The sequence below is a fragment of the Homo sapiens genome, chromosome 16 (assembly GCF_000001405.40).
Source record: "Homo sapiens chromosome 16, GRCh38.p14 Primary Assembly".
NCBI lineage: Eukaryota > Metazoa > Chordata > Mammalia > Primates > Hominidae > Homo > Homo sapiens.
The window spans coordinates 12689190-12712605 of record NC_000016.10 but is presented as its reverse complement, the minus strand read 5'-3'; the positions used below and the strand labels follow the sequence as shown (position 1 = coordinate 12712605).

The 23416-nt window shown below is 45.8% G+C and overlaps 1 protein-coding gene across 2 annotated transcripts in view; it reads left to right on the top strand.

Moving 5' to 3' along the window:
* The window catches only part of CPPED1 (calcineurin like phosphoesterase domain containing 1), a 144089-nt gene that overhangs the window by 91282 nt on the left and 29391 nt on the right, over nucleotides 1–23416 (top strand). The window contains exon 3 of one of the 2 annotated variants that reach the window (NM_018340.3): nucleotides 7557–7982. The exons of the other annotated variant lie outside the window; for it this stretch is intronic. Coding sequence (NP_060810.2) covers nucleotides 7557–7982 — 426 coding nt within the window. The remainder of the gene's footprint in view (nucleotides 1–7556; nucleotides 7983–23416) is intronic. 2 annotated transcript variants of the gene reach the window in all.

Sequence of the window (23416 nt, the reverse complement as noted above, 5' to 3'; positions counted from 1 at the left end):
CATTCTTTGTGATGCCTGTTTATTACTCTATACATATTATCTATTCCTTATTAATAAACATTTAAGCCAATTTAAATGTTTATATCTTCTCAATTGTTGCTACAAGGAATAGTTATGTTTTGCACACTTGTGTATGTGTCTGTAGGATAAAGGCTGATAAATGGAACTGCTGGCTCACTCAATATCATGAAGTTATTAAAGTTTAAATGGATATTTCCAATTCCCCCCTGAAAGGAGTTCTACTTGCCCCCTGAAAGGAGTTTTAATTACTGAGCTATGATCTTAACCATATAGTTGATGCCCTGGCTTGACTATTCCGTTTCCAACCTGCAGGTAGGGACGGAGCCCCATCGACTCTGTTTCCAGGGACCTCTTAGGGCTGTCTCTGGAAATTCTTGTCCTTGGCATGCTTCCCTTTCTGTGCAAGGGCCTAAGCACTGTCTCATCCATGTATCCATCTGTCTGCAGGACAGGTGTGGCCTCCAGGCACCACAGTAAACGAGTTGTCAGGTAAACGTGAGCTCTGGGCTAGGATGTCAACATGCAGACATGTGTGTTCTTTCCTGCATTTCTCAGGGACAGTAGCAGCGGCACTGGGGGCTAAGCTCCCTGAGAATGAGGAAAATGGGAGGGAGATCTCTGAACACCTGAGACCTGCCTCCCTCCTCCCCTGTCTCTTCCCTGGGTAGGGGGCTGTTAGAAAGAGGGGAAAGGAAGGTATGCACATACTACATACTGGACACTTTAAATACATGATCTCATTTATCTCACAGAATTTCCATAAAGGAGGTGATAATATTTTCATTTTAGGGTCTAGAAGACAGGCTCAGAGGGCAACATCCCCAGAGGACACCCCTAATAAAGAGCAACCTCAGGTCCTCTGAATCTGGAGCCCACTTATGGATCCCCTTGAAAAGCCAACCCCAAGGGCACCATCATGGGGGCTCCTATTAGAATGATGGTGAATGTGTCTGCTTCCAGCCCCACCCTCCACTGAACTCCAGACTCCTAGACCCAGCTGCCCTCTCAACAGCCCAACCTGGAGGGATCATGAGTATATTGATAACTTTGGTGGTTTCTTCTCTTTTCTTTTAGCATGGCAGAATATACGTAACGTTACATGTACCACCTTAACCATTTTAAGTGTACCGTTCAGTGGCATGAAGTATATTCCTATTTGTTGTGCAACCATCATCACCATCTGTCTCCATGGCTCTTTTTATCTTGCAAAATGGAAACTCTGTGCCCATTAAACAATAACTCACCATCCTTCCCTCCTGAAAGTCCTGGCAACCACCATTCTACTTTCTGCCTCTGAATTTGACCACTCTAAGTGCCTCATATAAGTGACATCAAACAGTATTTGTTTTTTCTGCATGACTTATTTCACTTAGCATATATCCTAAAGGTTCATCCATGTTGTAGCATGTGTCAGAATTCCCTTCTTTATTATGGTTGAATAATATTTCGTTGTATGGATATACCACAGTTCGCTTATCCATTCATCTGTCAGTGGATATTTGGGTTGCTTCCATGTTTAAGCTATTGTGAATAATGCTACTGTGAGCATAGGTGTACAAACATCTCTTTGAGACCCTGCTTTCAGTTATTTTGGGGACTCAGATATAGAATTGTTGGATTATCTGGTAATCCTACGTTTAATTTTTGGGGGAGCCACCATATTGTTTTCCACAGTGGCTACACCATTTTTCATTCCCATCAACAATGCACCAGGTTTCCATTTTCTCCACATCCTCACCAATACCTGTTATTTTCTGTCTCTTTGATAGTAGCTATCCTCATGGGTATGAAGTGGCGTCTCATTGTGGTTTTGATTTGCATTTCTTTAATAAGTAGTCGTGTTGGGCACCTTTTTAATGTCCTTATTGGCCATTTATATATCCTCTTTGGAGAAATGTCTGTTCAATCCTTTGCCAACTTTTGAGTTAGGTTGTTTTAGTGGTTGTTGAGTTTTAGGAGTTCTCCATATACTCTGATATTCATTCCCTATCAGATATTTAATTTGAGAATATTTTCTCCCATTCTGTGGTTTGCACTTTTTTCTCTGTTGATAGTGTCTTTTGATGCACAAACGTTTTGCATTTTCATGAGGTCCAATTTGTCTGTTCCCCCCCTCCTTTTTTTTTTTTTGGCCTGTAACAATACATCAAATTTTATATTCAAAATGACCTTTTGATTTCTACCTGTAACCTATTTCTCTCCTAGTCTTTTCCCTGACAGTAAACAACATGACCAGCCTCCCAGTTGCTCAGATGTCTGGGAATTAATTTTGAGTCCTTCCTGTAACCAGTACAATGAGGATTCCTGTCAGTTCTACCTCCCAAATATCTCTTAAATCCTTCTTGTTAAACCTCTAATTTTTATATTATGTTAGGATGTAGAAATACTGTTGATTTTTATATATTTACTTTGCATCCAAGCTAATTTCTCTTATTAGTGCTAAGAGTCTTTGATGTTTTGTTCTTTTGTTTTTTGTAGATTATTTGGGATTTTCTGTGGAGACAGTCTTCTGAGAATTGACTGATTTCTTTCTTTCTAATCTGTATGCCCTTTCCTTTCCTTCCCTCCCTTCCTTCCCTTCCTTCCTTCTCTTCTCTTCCCTTCCTTCCTTCCTTGCCTTCCTTCCCTTCTTTCCTTCCTCCCTTCCTTCCCTTCCTTCCCTTCCTTCCCTTCCTTCCCCCCGTCTTTCCCTTCCTTCCCTTCCTTCCCTGACTGCCTGCCTGCCTGCCTATTGCACTGGCTAGGATTTCTAGTATGATGTTCAGTGAGAGTGTGAGAGCAGACTTCCTTGTCTTGTTCCTGATCTTGGAGGAAGGCAGTCAGTCTTTCACCATTACCTATGATCATAGCTATACTTGTTTACAGATGTCCTTTATCCAGTTAAGGATGTTTATTTCTCTTCCTAACTCACAAAGAGATTTTATTAGACAATGTATTTTAAGGCTATTTGGAAAACAACCAAGATACTAATGTCTGCCTTAATGAATATGGACAAAAATAAATCATACCTCTCACAGTACCACTGATACAAATAAGAATTTTGTAATTATCGTTATCATGCTTTTTACCTCCTAGTTTTATTTTGACCAATTGCATTAAAATTTTTTTAAGTGTTTTAAACGCTTTGCAGCTTTCTACACTGCTCTCGCCATTCCCACCCAGGGCTCCTCTCCGTGGGGGTCAGGTGTGTGCTGACATTGGGGTCCCTGTACTCTTGGCACCCACTTCTCAGCAGATACCTCTTATCCACCTTGGAGACCCCAGAACAATCCTTCTCTGCCCCTCTTCTGAGTCATGTCTTGCCATTTTTCAGAGTCTTTCCCCTTGTTTCCCTGCCTTTCTTCCTGTCCTTTATATACATTCTTTTTGTGAACATAGAACCCTGCGTGAGACAGGAAACTCATTGAAGCTCTGTGTCCTTGGGCAGGTTTCTGTTTTTTCTGTTCATGATGCTGGTGAGGTTGGCTTTGGGCTTTGGGTTCTCATATATAATGGGACATTTTTGAGACAGAGTTTTGCTCTTGTCACCCAGGCTGGAATGCAATAGTGCGATATTGGCTCACTGCAACCTCTGCCTCCCGGGTTCAAGCAATTCTCCTGTCTCAGCCTCCTGAGTAGCTGGGATTACAGGCCCATGCCACCATGCCCAGCTAATTTTTGTATTTTTAGTAGAGATGGGGTTTTGTCATGTTAGCCAGGCTGGTCTCAAACTCCTGACCTCAAATGATCCTCCTGCCTCAGCCTCCCAAAGTCCTGGGAGTACAGGCATGAGCCACTGCACCCAGCCACAATGGGACTATTTTTCAGGAAGCTCTGCTAAGTTGTGCTATGATCTTTGTTAATACTAAGTTGTTGTTAATATAGTACGTAACCCTACAGAGATTCTGTTACATGCAAATGAGAGCTTGTTAAAGATCATGCAAATGTTGGCATTCAACTTGGGTTTTTGTAATCTAGGATTTACTCTTTTATTTCCAGATTCTTAACTAAAAACTATTTCTGTCCCTGGGGAAGATTTTCATTCCTTCTGAAACGATTTACTGGTTGTTATGCACACACAGTGGGTCGCTGATAAAAATGGAAGAATTTATTACATTTAGGGGGATGGGATGTGGAAAGCAGACAGCTGACAGCTTTGCATTCTTGTTTGTACCAGACTCTAGACATCATTATCTTAGTAGGAATTCTTACAGCCATTCCTGAGGTATGGGAATTATCATCCCCATTTCATACACGATGAAACCAAGACTCAGAGGAACCAAGGGACTTACCTAAGGCCATGCAGCTTGTAAGGGGCAAGAGACCAACCCCAGGGCACACTCACTCCACCTCAGCACCTGTGACTCCATGCAAGAGGTATAGAAAGTGTTGGAAAAGCTACACAAGAAAGAGGCTCATCTTTTTTTTTTCCAACAATAAATAAATAAATAATTTTTTTGAGACAGAATCTCACTCTGTTGCCCAGGCTGGAGTGCAGTGGCACGGTCTCAGCTCACTGCAACCTCTGCCTCCCGGGTTCAAGCGATTCTCCTGCCTCAGCCTCCCGAGTAGCTGGGACAACAGGTGTATGCCACCATGCCTGGGTAATTTTTCTATTTTTAGCAGAGTTGGGGTTTCACCATGTTGGCCAGGTTGGTGTTGAACTCTTGACCTCAAGTTGTCTGCCCGCCTAGGCCTCCCAAAGTGCTGGGATTATAGGCATGCATCAGTACGCCCTGCCAAGAGGCTCATTTTTGCTGAAGGAAATTTAGGGAAGATGAGCTGCGTTTTTTTTTTAACAGATTACTGGGGGATATTGGTGGTTTCCCCAAAAGCAGCATCCCTCTTTGTTTGGAAACACACATCACATTACTGTGTGTAATTCCCAGCTCTTCCTTGTTGGTTGCTTCCTAGACAAGGTTTCCTTCCCAAGTCAGCCTTTCTTTTGAACTGCCCCTTCTTAACTTTTCTGTTTATGGTCATTAGGGATTCGGACATTTTTCCATACCTGCCTCAGTTAGCATGTGAGGGGCCATACTTAATGACTTTGAAAATCAAGAACAGGAGATGCTCTGCACCCCAGTGTATTATAAAGTCCTCATCCTGTGTCTCAGGGCAGCCAGGAGAAGTCATCCTGAGAGCAACGACCTTAGTTTGTGACCAGGACACTGTAGACAGCACCTTGAGCCAGACCACCAAGTTCAAATCCCCACTCCTCCACTGGGTGTCCAGAGGAAGCAAGTCGGTGCACACACAGCTCTGAGAACAGTGCCTGGCCTGTAGGAAGTGCTAAGAAGTATTGTCAGTGATTGAATATCCCAAAATCCCCAAGTCAGTGTGAACAGAAAGAAGAAGAAGTGAGAGGGGCGGCTTTGAGGTCTTTGAGAAAATCCAGTGAGGAAAGTGGTAATGAATCAGCCTTGGACCACAAGGGTCGCTTTGAGAGAGTTTGTTGTGTTCAAAGCTACAAAGGACTTGTCTTTCCTAAACTGGCATGGGAAAAGAACCAGACACTGGAGTCTTAGAGAGGATCATGTAAGTCAGCACAGATGCCTGCAGTCCGGGTTCGGCTAAAGAAGCAATGTCAATCAATGGCACCTTCGATGCAGACGGTAGGTGAATGAACCCCCAGCACCCCTGAGAGAGAGGCCTCCTGGTTTCTGGTGCAGGCAGAACCTGCTTCTCCCTAAGGCTCCCTCCACTAGGCTTCAGGCCGTGCAGCCACCTCTCACCTCTGGACACCAGTGGAATGGGCTCGGGAAAGGCTGGCTGACCCCTGCAGCAGGAGTTGGGGTCTGAAGCCCAGTCTGCTCAGCCTCCTGTGGAAGCAGGTCGTGCCTGCTCCAGGGACCGAGAGTCCTCTCTTCCAGGGGTGCTAGGGTTTGTCTGCAGTCCACATTGGCCTCATGGCTGGTCTGAGTTGATCCAGGCTGGCCCTGGGGCTGCCAGTCCAAACATTCATTCCAGCCACCTGGCTGGCTTCCTCAATCTTCTTTAAGCCCCAGAACCATGGAGTCAAAATCTTTGAGTTTTTTTTTTTTTTTTTTTTCGGTGAAAATTATACATAAGCTTGGGAAAAGGGAGGAAGGAAAGAAGGAAGGGAGGAAGGAAAGGAAGGGAGAAAGGAAAGGAAGGAAGGAAGGAAGGGAGAGAGGCAGGGAAAGAAAGAAAGTATTTAGGTTGGTGCAAAAGTAATTGCAATTTTTGTCATTACTTTCAGTGGCAAAAACTGCAATTACTTTTGCACCAACCTAATATAAAGGGTTTTAAACCAAGTGTAAGACTCCCTCCCTCTCTGCTTCTGTTTCCTGGATTTAACCAGAGTTAACAGTTTTCTTTGAATCTTGGGGGACATTTTATCCATAATACATGAATACATGTGAGGCTTTTAAAAATTTGTGTGTGATTTTATTCCTCTGTGCCTTATATTATTAACTTACTATATATTAAAGATTTTCTCATAGCATTAATATAGATCGCCTGTTTCTTATCTTGATATTTATTTATTTCATTAGGGTTAAATATAAAACTATTGCAGTGAGATATTGAAATTCTGAACTCTTACACGTCTAACAATGTAACTAAAAGTAAATGACGTGAACCTTGGCAGAATTACAGAAAGAGACAGATCAATCCACAGTTACAGCGACAACTTAACCAAGTCTCTCAGAAACAAATATACATCAACAGGCCGAAAGAAAAGGATAATGACACAGAAAATTTGAACCACACCATTAATGAGTTTGATTGAGTAGAAATATGAGGAACTTGGTATTCAACAGTGAAAGAACGCATGTTCTGCCCGGCGCGGTGGCTTACGCCTGTAATCCCAACACTTTGGGAGGCTAAGGCAGAGATTCGCTCTTGTTGCCCAGGCTGGAGTGCAATGGCGTGATCTTGGCTTACTGCAACCTCTGCCTCCCGAGTTCAAGCGATTCTCCTGCCTCACCCTGCCGAGTAGCTGGGATTACAGGTGCCCGTGCCCATGCCCAGCTAATTTTTGTATTTTTAGTAGAGACGGGGTTTCACCATGTTGTCCAGGCTGGTCTCGAACTCCTGACCTCAGGTGATCCACGTGCCTCGGCCTCCCTAAGTGCTGGGATTACAGGCATGAGCCACCACGCCCAGCCTAATTTTCTTTTTTATGAAGACAGGGTCTCACTGTAGTGCCCAGGTTTGTCTCATAATTCCTGGGCTCAAGTGATCCCTCCCACCTCAGCCTCCCCAAGTGTTGGTATTACAGGTGTGAGCCACTGTACCCAGTCCACTAATATTTAATCTCAGGATTGACTTCACACCATCACTCAGCAACATAGGGCAGGGGGCCATGTAGTCATGGAATTTCTAAGGTATCCTGGGGAAGGATGGGCAGAGGCCCCCGTCGGACTTGTTGGTTTGCTTTTAGCACGTGACTGCATTTTGCAGTTTCCATGTGCTAGGTGGAGTGGATTTCCAGATTACTCTTTTTTTAAATTTTATGTTAGTAAGTACTTAAGTTAGTTATTTCAAGTGAATAAGCCCCTGGCTTTCTCAGGACGTGACCCTCACTCTTCCAGGGAAGCCGTGGCGGACGGAGCAGACGGAGGACCTGAAGCGAGTGCTTAGGGCAGTGGACAGGGCCATCCCACTGGTCCTTGTCAGCGGCAACCATGACATTGGCAACACCCCCACGGCCGAGACCGTCGAGGAGTTCTGCCGGACTTGGGGAGATGACTACTTCAGCTTCTGGGTCGGGGGCGTCCTGTTCCTGGTCCTCAACTCCCAGTTCTACGAGAACCCCTCCAAATGCCCCAGCCTGAAGCAGGCTCAGGACCAGTGGCTGGACGAGCAGCTGAGCATCGCGAGGCAGCGGCACTGCCAGCATGCCATCGTCTTCCAGCACATCCCGCTGTTCCTGGAGAGCATCGACGAGGACGACGACTACTACTTCAACCTCAGCAAGTCCACTCGGAAGAAGTTGGCAGACAAGTTCATCCACGCAGGTAGAGGCCCCGGGCCACGGGTTTCAGGGAGGAAGGACAAGTCTAGAGAGGGCATTTCCAGATCTTTCTCCCGTCTCTCTGCAATGTGTCAAAAAGGGAGAGAGGACTAGGCCGGGAGTTCTGATACCAGCTCTTGGACTTGCAGACTGCATGTCTGGCTAGTTAATCCTCCTGTGCCTCAGTTTCCTCGTCTATAAAACAGGAATAGTAATAGTAGCCTTATTGCAGGATGGTGTCAAGGATTAAATGAGAAAGGCCTCCAAGACATGGAGAACAGACCCTAGCCTAAGTACTCAGTGTGCCATAGCTGCTCACAGTTGAAGATTGGAGTTCTGGAAGTGGCAGGAGGGGTTTATTGGGGGAAGTAGACTGGGTAGTGCAGGTGGGTGTGAATGTGGCTTGCATGTGCCTTGGGAGAAGGCAAGATGCCAGGGACATCTGCTTTCACTTCTCTGGGAAGCAGGCACCTTGCTCAAGGGCAGACGATCTTTAAGAGTCAAGCTGCCCTCCAGTATTCATCAGCTGTGACTCAGGAAATCCTGGGATGTGGCTTTAGCGGACAGTTCCTGGGGCCTGATCAGTTTTCCTCTGCCAAGGTAGATTAAGTTCTCCTCCAGAATCAGGAGAGAGTAACGGATTTAGTCCCATCTTTTGCTGCCAGTGATATATGTGACAGACACGTGCACGCACAGAATGAAGACCCTCCATTTCTGGAGGTCACACCTCAATTTCTGATGGCACTCTAAGGCACTAGCCCACCCACCTCCTTTATCTTTCTGGTAGCACCTGCCATGGGCCTTTCAAGAGAAACAGTCTGTTCTAGGCAGATTCCCTGGGTTACCAGTGATTTGGCAAATTCCAGTTTTGACAACTGTTGTGTCTCTTCTCTTTGTCCTCGTTCTTCCTTTCACCAGGGCTTACTTTTTTTTTTTTTTTTTTTTTGAGACAAAGTCTTGTTCTGTTGCCCAGGCTGGAGTGCAGTGGCAAAATCTCGGCTCACTGCAACCTCCGCCTCCCAGGTTCAAGTGATTCTCATGCCTCAGCCTCCCAAGTAGCTGGGATTACAAACGCTGACCACCACGCCTGGCTAATTTTTGTACTTTTAGTAGAGATGGGGTTTCACCATGTTGTCCAGGCTGGTTCCAAACTCCTGACCCCAAGTGATTCACCCACCTTGGCTTCCCAAGGCCACGGGACGTGATCAGTTTTCCTCTGGTGAGGTGGATTAAGTTCTCCTCCAGAATCCGGAGAGAGTAACGGATTTAGTCCCATCTGGGAATACAGTGCTGGGATTACAGGTGTGAGCCACCCCACCCAGCGGAACATTTTGTATTTTCAAGACATTTTGCAATAAGCTCACATAATTGGAGATGTTTTCCAGCTGTTCCATGGAGATAAAGTTAGAAAACTTCTATTAAGTCGTTTGAAATTTCATGCCATGCTTGAGTTGGTGCAGAAAACTGTCTTGATGACAAGGAAACAAAGCGTCAAGGCGGCATGAGCACCACCATGGAGACTATTCTGTAGTGGAGAATAAAGCCAGAGAGAACATTTAATGCCATTGAAGTGATTCCTTTCATATCCAATGGTATTTCTTTTTTTTTTTTTTTTGAGACGGAGTCCCGCTCTTGTCACCCAGGCTGGAGTGCAGTGGCACCATCTCGGCTCACTGCAACCTCTGTCTCCTGGGTTAAAGCAATTTTTCTGCCTCAGACTGCTGAGTACCTGGGATTACAGGCACCCATCACCATGTCCAGCTAGTTTTTGTATTTTTAGTAGAGACAGTTTGGCCAGGTTTAGTTTCACCATGTTGGCCAGGCTGGTCTCGAAACTTCTGACGTCAGGTGATCCACCCACCTCGGCCTCCCAAAGTGCTGGGATTACAGGTGTGAGCCACCGCAGCTGGCCAGATCTAATGTTAGATGATGTAAAGCCCATGACTGCCCTGAGTTCTTTGTTCTTGTTCTTGTTGACCACATTCCTGAGTGGTATGTAGTTCTGTGGTTTTCCCCTTGTAGGACAGAGCACCCCCAGATACTGAGAAGACTCACAGTTCTAATTTTTTCTATTGATTGATTGATTGATTGATTGAGAGTCTTGCTTTGTCACCCAGGCTGGCGTGCAGTGGCGTGATCATGGCTCACTGCAGCCTCGACCTCCTAGGCTTAAACAATCTTCCCACCTCTACCTTCTGAGAACCTGGGACTATAGGCACACACCACCATGCCCAGCTAATTTTTTTAATTATTTGTAGAAACGGGGTCTGACTGTGTTGCACCTCACTGGGCTTTAACTCCTGGCCTCAAATGATCCCCCTGCCTTGGCCCCCCGAAGAGTTTAAATTACAGGTGTGAGCTCTAACAGGGCACCCTTGGGAGAAGCCTGTTGACCACCCACCAAGGGCCCTACAGGGTGGCATCATATCCATGATGCCCCAGCCCCCTGCCCACTCAGATCTGCAACCCCTCAAGCACAGGAACCAGAGTTGCTGGCAAACCAAGAGCTGGTCTGTGTCTCCAATTATCCCAGCTCCCAGAGACTGATAGCTACAAACCAGAATGGCAGTTGATTAATTTAGAGCAAGACCGCAGCCCTGGCCTCCACCCCAGCGGTGCTTTCTCTTCCCGTAGGCAGAGCTACATGGGAAGCCCAATTATAATCAGGAGGCTGCTTGGTAGGCATGAGAAAACAGGGGGGTTAGCTGCCTTATTCCACTCTCAGTGACATCAGGCGCTGGAATCCAATGGCTCCATCTCCGGAGGAGCTCGCTAGCTGAAGGCACTTGGTTATTTCATGTCCCTTTAATTCTACCTCCTTCGTGTCTCTGTAGCCTGTCCACTGTCTCATCTGGGTCTTAGCAGCAGCTCTGCACTGTGCTCCCCACTCTGCTCTTACCCATTCTAGTTCATTCTGCACCTAACAGCAAGATGGGTGTGTAACTGACTGCAAAGCATGAGGCTTCCCTCCACCCCCAGGTCCGGCCCAGCTCTTCACTGCAGTGTCCAGGGCCCTTCTCAGTCACATCTGCCTTCCCCTCCAGCCTCTTCTGGTTCACCTGCCTAGGCCCACTCAACAATTTTTTGTTTGCTGAGACATTCTCACTCTGTCACCCAGGCTGTAGTGCAGTGGCATGATCTCGGGTCACTACCACCTCCTCCACCTCCCAAGTTCAAGTGATTCTCCTGCCTCAGCCTCCCGAGTAACTGGGATTACAGGCGCGCACCACCATGCCTGGCTAATTTTTGCATTTTTAGTAGAGATGGGGTTTCACCATGTTGGCCAGGATGGTCTTGAACTCCTGACTGACCTCAAGTGATCTGCCCGCCTCAGCCTCCCAAAGTGCTGGAATTACGGGTGTGAGCCACCACACCCGGCCTCAACATTTTTTTTTTCTTGAGATGGAGTCTTACTATGTCACTCAGGCTGGAGTGCAGTGATGTGATCATAGCTCACTGCAGCCCTGGATTCCTGGGCTCAAGTGATCCTCCCACCTCAGCCCCCTAAGTAGCTGGGACTACAGGGGAGTGCCACGATGCCTGGCTAATTTTTTTATTTTTTGCAGAGATGGAGGTCTCACTGTGTTGCCCAGGCTGATATCAAATTCCTGGCCTCAAGTGACCCTCCCGCCGGGGTATCCCAAAGTGCTAGGATTACAGGCATGAGACACCACATCCCGCCTCCCACTCAACTTTGACATCTTCTGTATAAGGCTCTCCCCTCCTCCCCACCCCAGGTTCTTCAGCTTCTCTTATCCCAGCACTTGTCAGGTGGATTTGCAAGTGTTGACTTGTCTGAATCCCCGCTAAACTCTCAGCTCCCTGAGGGCAGGGACAGGGTCATATTCAGCTATGCAGTTGGGAGACCTGGCTCAGATATTAGCTCATAATAAATGTTTTATCAGTATTTGTGGAATGAATGAATGAAAGTCTTTGGGCCAGGTGTGGTAGTTCACACCTGTAATCCTAGCACTTTGGGAGGCCAAGGCAGGTGGATCACCTGAAGTCAGGAGTTCAAGACCAGCCTGGCCAGCAGGGCGAAACCCTGTCTCTACTGAAAAATGCAATAATTAACCAGGCCTGGTGGTGCCCACCTGTAATCCCAGCTACTGCGGAGGCTGAGGCAGGAGAATTGCTTGTACCTGGGAGGTGGAGATTGCAATGAGCCGAGATCATGCCACTGCACTCCACCTTGGGCAACAGAGCATGTTCAGACCTCTGTGTTCAACACGTGGCCTCTGTGGCCTTTGGTCTTAGGGAAGCCACTTGTGCCTCTCTCTGCTCTGGTCCCCAGGCTGGCTCTCCAAAGTCACTCAGCAGTCTTTCTCTTCCCAAGCACCCCCTCCCACTGCTTCCTCCAGGCACCACCTGCAGGTATACAAAGGCACCTACCTCTTCTTGGCCACTGGCCTAAGGGTCTTCACCTAAACCTGCTTCACAGAGAAGGCCAGAGAGATGAGAGCCCTTCCCGAAATTCCCTGTCAGTTTCCGTGGCCTGCCAAACCAGGCCTTTTGCTGAATGACCTTCCAAACACAGAACAAATCTTAGGCAACATCAGAAGGAAATATGAGTCGGATGTGGAGGCTCTCCGCTGCAGGCAGATAGACTTGCTGGGCTTGGAAGCTCATGTAGGTGGGCGCTCTTGGCTGTACGCATCCATGACTCAGTTATGCAGAAAGCGGCTCAGGTCACAACAACATAATTGGAACTCATTTTGGAGAGCCAGAAGTTCAAGTGATATTTTGTAAAATTCATTAACTTAAAGGCTGGGATAAAATTGGGGGTGACGATGGCAGCTGGTATTTAATATTGCCTTTGTTTTCTTCCCCCCATGGCAATATTATTCCCTACTACTGTCTCAGTCTCATTTATCTCCTTGTGCTGAAATGCCAGTACTCAAAAATATGTCAAAAGCTCATCAGAATATCAGGGTAACTTTTAATTATGATAATTGTGTTGTTATAAAATACCCTTTTAAAGAGCACATCTCTCCCCAAACCACCGTGGAGGTAAAACCCAGCTTCCTTCCAGCAAGCTTGATGAATAATTCTGAATCATTGTGTGGGATGAATAAATGATTTAATAATGAGCATCAACAATCATCTCTCATTGTTGCATTAATTTTTAAAAATGGGATGAGATAAACGAGGAGGAGGGTGTCACTGTGCAGTGGACCACCGGGAGTGGAGGGGTGTGCTGTGTGAATCGAAGCCTGCCAGCCTCCAAGTGCAGGTTTCCCTAGAAACAGATGCATCCTGTTTCTACTTTTGAAGCTCAGTGAAAAACCGTCTTTGTATGATACAAAAACATTGTCAATAGCCGGTACAAATAAACAGTTATCAGGTCAGGACAGATATACCAGTGTGAAGCAGCACCTGTTATTTTCTGTCTTCATTTCACCTGCGTGAGGATAATCAATTTCATCACATCCAAGGGATGTAGAAATTGGTTTTCCGCTTTATTCACCTGATACCTAGTTGGAGTAGCAAAGACAGATAGTAGATAATGAAATTTTGGTTGAACCTAGACATTTTCTCGGTCCTTTATGCCTCTTTCAGCAGAGGGTTAATATATGACCCATTTAATATTGATTCCAATTTAGAAGCTCAGTCTTAAAAAACAAAAGCTAGATCTTTAACTGACCATGTTTCCCTTGATGTCTCGATACCTTTTCTTTTTTTCCATTCTCCGAAGAGAGATTAGAACTGTGTGTTAGAGAGCCCAGAGCAAATTTGGCAATTATGAAAAATTCCAATAAGTTGATCTTCCCCGCAAAAGTTAATGAGTCATTTCACAGAATTAGAGTTTCATTTCTAGTATTTATGCTTTTTTAGAAAATGAGAGAGAGAGAAGATAAATCTTAGTCCATGGTTATAGTTTTAAGATTTCAAAGTTTTGGCAGGTGCAGTGGCTCACACCTGTAATCCCGGCACTTTGGGAGGCCGAGGTGGGTGGATCACTTGAAGTCAGGAATTCAAGACCAGCCTGGGCAACATGGTGAAACTCCATCTCTACTAAAATATAGAAATTAGCCGGGCATGGTGGCAGGCACCTGTAGTCCCAGCTACTTGGGAGGCTGAGGCAGAAGAATCGCTTGAACCCTGGAGGCGGAGGTTGCGGTGAGCCAAGATTACGCCACTGCATGCCAATCTGGGCAACAGAGCAAGACTGTGTCTCAAAAATAAATAAAAAAAATTCAAAGTTTTAAAGAACAAAAAGATCAGGTTCCCAGGATTTACTTTATAGGAAGATAAAACATCAAATCCTGCTCTGACATCCTTTGCGCTGTATTGCAGTCACTGTTTAGATCCTGATTCCTCCAGGAAACAGAAGCCCAGCCTTATTCACCTCTGTAAGGCCAGCCCCTAGCTGAGACTGTCATATAGTAGCCCCCCAATAGGTGAATAGTGGTCAATGGAATTGAATTAAGCGTGATTCAAGTCTACTTATCAGCAGGTAATATCCGTATCACTTGTGAGTTGGTTTTCATGAACTGACTTTTTTTTGGTGGGGGTTGGGGTCAGAGTCTCACTCTGTCACCCAGGCTGGAGTGCAGTGGTGCCATCTTGACTCACTGCAACTTCCGCCTCCCAGGTTCAAGCAATTCTCCTGACTCAGCCTCCCAAGTAGCTGGGATTACAGGCACACGCCACCACATCTGGCTAATTTTTGTATTTTTAGAAGAGATAGTTTCACTGTATTGGCCAGGCTGGTCGCAAACTCCTGACCTCAAGTGATCCGCTCACCTTGGCCTCCCAAAGTGCTAAGATTACAGGCATGAGCCACTGCACCCAGGCCACAAGCTGACTTTTGTATGGGAAATGCTTCGCCTAGAGGGGTCAATAGAACTTTTCGGTAAAGGGTCAGATAGTAAATATTTTGGGCTTTGTGGCTCTATGGTCTCTGTAGCAACTACTCAACTCTGCCTTCATAACAAGAGAGCAGCCACAGACAGTGCAGTGTTCCAATAAAACTTTATTTCCAGAAACAGGTGGTAGGCCTGCCGGTGATAATTTTCCAACTCTTGGCTTAGAGAAATGTTCCCATTACAGGGTGACGCTCTTGCTCTCCCCAGAACCTTGTCCACATTCTGTATGTGTCTAAGTTTAGGATGCATCTGACGACCCCATTGTAACAACTGCCTGACTGACAGAAAGGTCTGCCCAGAACAAGCCTCCTGAAGGTCTTCAGTGGAGGGCGTGCCTGGGTGAGGCACATGTTCCCCTGAAGACCAGGATGTGATGGATTGCAGACAAGAGGGTCCATGGTGCATGTAAGATGTCTAATAATTGGGTGATCAGCTTCACATGTATTAGAAAAAAATAGAACTAGCTTATCAATTTAAAGAAAATGATTTAATTATCACCTGAGCTCAGGAGTTCGAGACCAGCCTGGCCAACATGGAGAAACCCCATCTCTACTAAAAATACAAAAATTAGCCAAGCGTGATGGCACACACTTGTAGTCCTAGCTACTTGGGAGGCTAAGGCAGGACATTGGCTTGAACCTGGGAGGCAGAGGTTACAGTGAGCTGAGATTGCGCCACTGCACTCCAATCTGGGCAACAGAGCAAGATTCTGACTCAAAAAATAAAAAATAAAAATAAAGAAAATGATTCAGTAAATAGTAGTATGAGTACTGTGCAGATAAGGCAAAACTTGGAGGTTTGTACAGGGGGAATTAGCGTCTGGGCCGGTGGGCAGGGGGTCCTATAACATGGCAGGTGAACAGACAGGATTTGGCTTCTTAAGTTGCTTGGGATAAGCCACTAAACATTTCTCTGCCTTAGTTTTCCCACTTGTAAAAAGAGGGTACTCACCCCAACCTTGTCAAGTTGGTGTATCCCTTAAGGAGAGTCATATATAAAATCAAAAAGACAAGTCAGGCCAGGCGCAGCGGCTCACACCTGTAATCCCAGCACTTTGGCAGGCTGAGGCAGGTGGATCACCTGAGGTCAGGAGTTCGAGACCAGCCTGGCCAACATGGTGAAACCCCATCTCTACTAAAAATACAAAAAATTAGTGGAGCGTGGTGGTGAGTGCCTGTAATCCCAGCTACTCAGGAGGCTGAGGCACGAGAATCACTTGAACCTGGGAAGGCGGAGGTTGCAGTGAGCCGAGATCACGCCACTGCATTCCACCCTGGGCGACTGAGTGACACTCCATCTCAAAAAAAAAAAAAAAAAAAAGAAAGTCACTTAGCACCATGTCTGGCTCATAGTGAGCACTCACTAAGGGCGTGTTTGTTGTTCTGTATGATCCCGAACCGTTTGGGGACCCCACAGCAGGCAAATGTGCTTTATCCATTAGCTAGACCGGCATGCTTCTCACCCCTGGGGTGCTGGCGTCCTTCTTGCGGGCGTTCTTGAGAATCTCCAGGACAGGCGGACCTGGTTTGGGGACATGCCTGCTGCCTGCTGATATAGCTGTGTAGATTTGAAAGGGAAAATAATGATCAACTCTGTTCAAAATGCAAACTATAGGAAGTAAAGCTAGACAAAATTCTCTTGGCTCCTGGGATATGCGGGAAGATAGACGATTACAGCCAGTCTGAGAGTTTTCAGGGTAGATGAGGAAGGCATGCTACTTTTAATTTTAACAAAAGGGGGTACTGGTTTAAAAGGATGGTAGTCGCTGAAGTAGATGAAAAATTCTTACAGAATGTAGTGATAAAATTTGATCCTTTGTTTATTTTTTAAAGCACACACCTGTTTCAAAAGAAAAAACCTTAGACAAATTAAAGTTCACAGTTTAGTTGAGCAAAGAATAATTCGTAAATCAGGCAGACCCTGAACCAGAATAGAGGCTCAGAAAGACTCGAGCACAGCCAAATGGTGAGAGATTTGTGGGCAGAAAAAGGAAAGTGGAAAGTGAGGTACAAAAACAGCCAGATGGGTTACAACTCAGCATTTGCCTTATTTGAACACAGTTTGAACAGTTGACTGCCTGTGATTGGCCAAAACCGGAGATTGGCAAGAGTATGTTCTATTCTGTTTACACATCCAGTTCACTGTGTATACAGAGAAACCTTTGGCTGAAATTAAAATGTATAAAGAAGGCTGGGCATGGTGGCTCACACCTGTAATCCCAGCACTATGGGAGGCCGAAGTAGGAGGATCGCTTGATCCTAAGAGTTCGAGACTAGCCCAGGCAACATAGTGAGACTCTGTCTTTGCGAAAAGGATTTTTTTTTTAACTAACCAGGCATAATAGTATGCACCTGTGGTCTCAGCTACTCAGAAGGCTGAGGTGGGAGGATCGCTTGAGCCCCGGAAGCCAAGTCTGCAGTGAGCTGTGATTGCACCACTGTACTCTATCCTGGGCAACAGAGCAAGATCCTGTCTCAAAAAAATAAGTAAATAAAAATAAAATATGTAAGGAGGCAGCTTGAGCCTCAACTTAATTTAACATACCTCACCAATTAAGTGTTAGTAAACACACCTTTGAATGTATAATTTCATAGTCAGATTTTTTTACAAATGCAGCAAACCTGTCCACAGGGCAGTGACAATCATGTTACAGTGCCCTCCCATTTAAAATGAAATTTTTAGGCTGAGTGTGGTGGCTCATGCCTGTAATACCAGTCCTTTGGGAGGGCGAGGTCGGTGGATCACCTGAGGTCAGGAGTTCAAGACCAGCCTGGCCAACATGGTGAAACCCTGTCTCTACTAAAAATATAAAAATTAGCAGGGTGTGGTGGCGCACACCTGTAATCACAGCTACTCCAGAGGCTGAAGCAGGAGAATCGCTTGAAGCTGGGAGGCGGAGGTTGCAGTGAACAGGGATCGTGCCACTGCACTCTAGCCTGGGTAACGAGAGCAAAACTCCATCTCAAAAAAAAAAAGGGGGGGGTTTTTAAAAAACTATCTCACACTCATGCCCCCGCCCCCCCCCCCACCTTTTTTTAAGCATCCATAGAATCCAGAGTTTGTGGGACCTTATCAGCTAGAGGAAGTTTACCCTCTTTGTTTTATTTCCTCAGATTTAGTCTTGAATTCATTTTCCCACGTTTGGCCTATTTTTTAGGTTCCAATCAGTTCACCGCAAAACATCACACACTAGTCATTTAATGTCTGATTCTCATTCACTATAAACCTAGATAAAAGACTAACTGCCAAAGCTACATCTGGTGTAAAGTGATGGATTAGATTTCTCACTTTGGAGGTATCCTTAACAGTTGGGCTAATTAAAGTTGAAATCAAGTCCTGATGGTAAATATTTATAAATTGAGAATCTGGCGTGTGTAAATGTATGCTGCTGATTCCTAAAGTTAAATCAACGTTTATCCATTCAGCAAATAGCATGGATCCCACGCTAGGCACTGAGGATGGAGGGATGAACAAAACAGAGAAGTTTCTTCTCTGAGGTTGTAGATTGCTCTTCAACTAAAAATGTCTGGGTTTTTCTGTTCTTTTGTTTTTTGTGAGAGGGTCTCACTCTGTCACCGAGGCTGGAGTGCAGTGGCGCAATCTCGGCTCATTGCAACCTCCACCTCCCAGGTTCAAGTGATTCTCCTGCCTCAGCCTCCCAAGTAGCTGGGACTACAGGTACCCGCCACCACACTTGGCTAATTTTTGTATTTTTAGAAGCTATAGGGTTTCACCATGTTGGCCAGGCTGGTCTCTAACTCCTGACCTCAGGTGACCCGCCCACCTCAGCCCCTCCTAAAGTGCTGGGATTACAGGCATGAGCCAACACAGCCGGCCAAGTAAAAATGATTTAATTTTTTAATTTCATCACAACATTTCAAAAAGGAGCCCCCAGAACATGGGGAACAGCAGTGTCTGTTGAAGTTTATGAAGTCAAAATATTATATCTTCTCCTTTGAGATCATGTTTCAAAAATAGCAATTAGTGTCATTTTGAAATTAGCAGTGAGATTCCTTTGTAAAATTCCAGTATCTCCAGCTTAGTGAAACGCTCATTCCGTCTACTAGTTCAAGTTATTTTTTATTTACTGCACTTGCCTTCACTTAAAAGACATTTTCCCTATTTCCCACAGTGTAAGTACAAATCTACAACATTGCTTTGTAAAATAAGTTCAAAAATGCTTTGATTTCATTGCCTTTTAAATTTTACTTAAAAATGTTTGCATATGAATTGATTGAGTTGAAAGTAAAAAAAAAATAGCATGGCCAGGCACAGAGACTCACCCCTGTAATTCCAGCACTTTAGGAAGCCGAGGTGGGCGGGTCGCTTGAGCCCAGGACTTCGAGACCAGCCTAGGCAACATGGTGAAACCTGTCTCTACAAAAAAACACAAAAAATGAGTCCAGGCATTGTGGTGCACGCCCAGCTACATGGGAGGCTGAGGTGGGAGGATCGCCTGAGCCTGAATGTTGAAGTTGCAGTGATCCATGATTGCACCACTGCACTCCAGCCTGGGTGACAGAGTGAGACTCTCAAAAGCAAATACCACTCATTTAGGTGAAGCCTCCTGGGTGCCAGACATTGTCCTGGGAGCCCCTCTATCAGGACCTTAAAGGTGCCTTCTCCAGGTCTTCGGCACAGGTGTGGAAACTGAGCACGTCAGTTGTAAGGAGCAGAGGCCCTCTAACTCTTGAATCTATTTTAAATTTCATAGGCACGGTAAGAGGAAAGGAAATCTTTTTTCCTCACACGTCTCCCTTCTGTAAGCACTGTGCTGTGTGCAGTTGGAAGTCCAGGTGAGGGTACTATTCCCTGCAGTAACATTGTCCAGATAGAAGGGGCCATGTCAGGCAGTTGTGATGTTCTTTCAGCCACTGAGCCTCCTCTGGGGCCGCCCTGCCAGGTGGGGCCCTATGCTGCGTGCTCTTTCTCCCTGGGGACTATAGTATTCTCTGATCTCACTCCTCCATGGTGCCACTGAAGGCACCTAATAGAGCAATTTCTCTCCCGAAAAGTGCAGGAGATGAACAGGCTTCTTGAGAGACATGGTCAGTGTTCACTTTTATTTTTATTCACATTATTGTCAGCGGCTGCTCCCATGGTGTGGCAAACCTCCACCGCAACCCCACAAGGTACTGGTATTTTTTCCGTTTTGCCGACAGACATATTCAGGTCCTAGAGGCAGAGTCATCCATTCAGATCACAAAGCTATGAAGCAGGTGCGGTGGGTTTTGTGGGGATCAGATGAAATAATCCAGTACCTTGAGACAGTGTCTGGCTCCTGGTAGGTGCTCAGTGATAGCGAACCTCTATTCTTATCATCATGGTTATTGAAAAATGTTTTAAATGACTGGACGTGAAAAGGATGTGTAAGGGACACAGTTTCTGATATCCCTTGAATTGGTACCCCTGACCCACTGCCGAGTGTTGCCAGAGTGGGAACCAAAGTCTTCCTGGCAGTGTTTGTTCTGTTCACCACACCGGGGACAAATTAAAGTTAGCCTGTCTCTGAGATGGCTCTGTGAAGTGCCACCAGTGGGTATTAAAAACCACCTTCCTCGAGGGTCAGTGTGACTCCATTGGTCATTTAAAATGCAATGGACACGGCCGGGCACAGTGGCTCATGCCTGTAATCCTAGCACTTTGGGAGGCCGAGGCAGGCAGATCACTTGAGGTCAGGAGTTCAAGACTAGCCTGGCAAACATGGCAAAACCCCATAGCTACTAAAAATACAAAAATTATCCAGGCATGGTGGTGCATGCCTTTATGTTGTTTTTGTTTTTTTTTTATTTTGTATTACACTTTAAGTTTTAGGGTACATGTGAACAATGTGCAGGTTTGTTACATACGTATACATGTGCCATGTTGGTGTGCTGCACCCATTAACTCATCATTTAACATTAGGCATGTCTCCTAATGCTATCCCTCCCCCCCTCCCCCCACCCCACAACAGTCCCCAGCGTGTGATGTTCCCCTTCCTGTGTCCATGTGTTCTCACTGTTCAATTCCCACCTATGAGTGAGAACATGCGGTGTTTGGTCTTTTGTCCTTGCGATAGTTTGCTGAGAATGATGGGTTCCAGCTTCATCCGTGTCCTACAAAGGACATGAACTCATCATTTTTTATGGCTGCATAGTATTCCATGCTGTATATGTGCCACATTTTCTTAATCCAGTCTATGATTGTTGGACATTTGGGTTGGTTCCAAGTCTTTGCTATTGTGAATAATGCCGCAATAAACATATGTGTGCATGTGTCTTTATAGCAGCATGTTTTATAATCCTTTGGGTATATACCCAGTAATGGGACGGCTGGGTCAAATTGTGTTTCTACTTCATGCCTTCAATCCTAGCTACTTGAGAGGCTGAGGCAGGAGAATCACTTGAACCCAGGAGGCAGAGGTTGCAGTGAGCCAAGATTACGCCACTAGCCTGGGTGACAGAGTGAGACTACGTCTCAAAAAAAGAAAGAAAGAAAACACACACAGGACACTATACTAGTAAAATAGTAATAATGACTGCTTAATAAATAGTACACCACAGGGACTCTTGCTCTGATTTTGTAGACAAGGAAACTGCAGCGTGGGGAGACAAATCGGCTTCCCCAGCATCAACCAGCTGCAAAGTGGTGGGTGACACTAATTGCTTGGGGCCTGGGCAGTGGCCCTGGGTCCTGTGTTCTCAACGACATTGCTGTTGGGTGCCCCAGAGCATGTTGATGAGCAGAATGCACCGTGGGCACGGGTGCTGATGGCAAGTAGAGAGGAGCCGGGATACCCGTGTGGGGCAGGGTCCCACCTGCTCACCCTCCTGCCCATTCTTCACCTGCTCCTCTACAGGGGCTGCCTCAGGAAAGGAGCTGGTGCTGCAACCACAGAGGCTCAGCACTGGGATATCCAAAGGGATCTGCCAAGTGAGGGTCCGTGGAGCCTACTTGGTGTGGAATACAGGGGTGTGGAATTCCCCTTTGGCCTCAACAAGCAGGAATTTTTCTTTCATAGTAAGCCTCTCCGTTCATCCGTTCATCTTGAGTATGTGAATTGTGCCTTCTGCAGACAAAGATGCTCTTGATGGTGTCTTTTTTTTTTTTTTTTTTTGGTAGAAACTAGATCTCACTGTTTCACTATTTTGCCCAAGCTGGTCTCGAACTCCTGAGCTCAAGCAATCCACCTACCTCGGCCTCCCAAAGTGCTTGGATTACAGGCATGAGCCACCACACCTGGCCTTTTTTTTTTCTTTCTTTCTTGAGAAGGAGTCTTGCGCTATTGCCCAGGCTGGAGTGCAGTGGCATGACCTCAGCTCACTGCAACCTCTGCCTCCTGGGTTCAAGTGATTCTCCTGCCTCAGCCTCCCAAATAGCCAGGACTATGGGTGCTCCCCACCACGCCTGGCTAATTTTTGTATTTTCAATAAAGACTGGGTTTCACCGTGTTGCCCAAGTTGGTCTGGAGAACTCCTGAGCTCAAGCAGTCTGCCTGCCTTGGCCTCCCAAAGTGCTGTGGTTATACGCATGAGCCACCACACTTGGCCTTCTTGATGGTGTCTTTCATGAAACAGGGAGGGATCTGTACCCACCCCCGCAGACTCTGGCCAGCCCCTCACCAGTTCAAGCCCAGGTGGGCTCATTATCTAAAGATTATGGCTGCCAAAAAAAAAGCTCACTTAAAATGCAGACCGTAGCTACAGAAAATGGCAATAAAATAAAAATAAAGGTTGGTTTGAAACATTGTCTTGAGAAAAGAGACAAATTATGGCAATCAGTTAATTTCAACTTGTGTTTGATAAAATGGTTGTTACTGCCAGTATGCAGCAACTCAGGATGAACAGAGAGGTAATCAAGTGTCGACTTGGTTTCCTTGGAGTAAATGGTCTGAAAAAAATTCTTTTGACAGCATCCTGTACTTTACATTTGACATTGGCAGGAGCATCACTGTGGGTTCTTTTCAGATTTTATCAATCTTCATAAGAGTCTGTTTCTGAATCCATCAGTAATCTGATGATTGGCTTCTCAGGAGCTAATGTGGGCATGTATGTTTTCTCTGTGAGAGCCTTATTTGCCGATGACTTCCCCAGTGTCGTTTCCTTCGGCTTTGTGAAATCCTGCATCTTTAGTGTGGTTTGTGGTCTCACATACAGGTGCACTCTTGTTGCACAGCTTGGGGGATTGGGGGTGTGGGCTTGGTTTATAAGCAGTCCATTCATGAACAGTTTCTTGTTAAGAAGAAATACTGGCTGGGTGTGGTGGCTCTCACGTGTAATCCCAGTGATTTGGGAGGCCAAGGTGGGAGGATCAGTTGAGGCCAGGAGTTTGAGACCAGCCTGGGCAACATAGCAAGACCCCATCTCTACAAAATATACTTTTTTAATTAGCCAGGCATGGTGGTGTGCACCTGTGGTTCTAGCTACTTGGGAGGCTGAGGTGGGAGGATCTCTTGAGCCCATAAATTCGAGGTTGCAATGAGCCAAGATTGCACCACTGAACTCCAGTCTGGAGGACAGAGTGAGACCCTGTGTCTTTAAAAAAAAAAAAAAAAAAAAAAAAGCCCTCTTTTCATATAGCTGATCATATA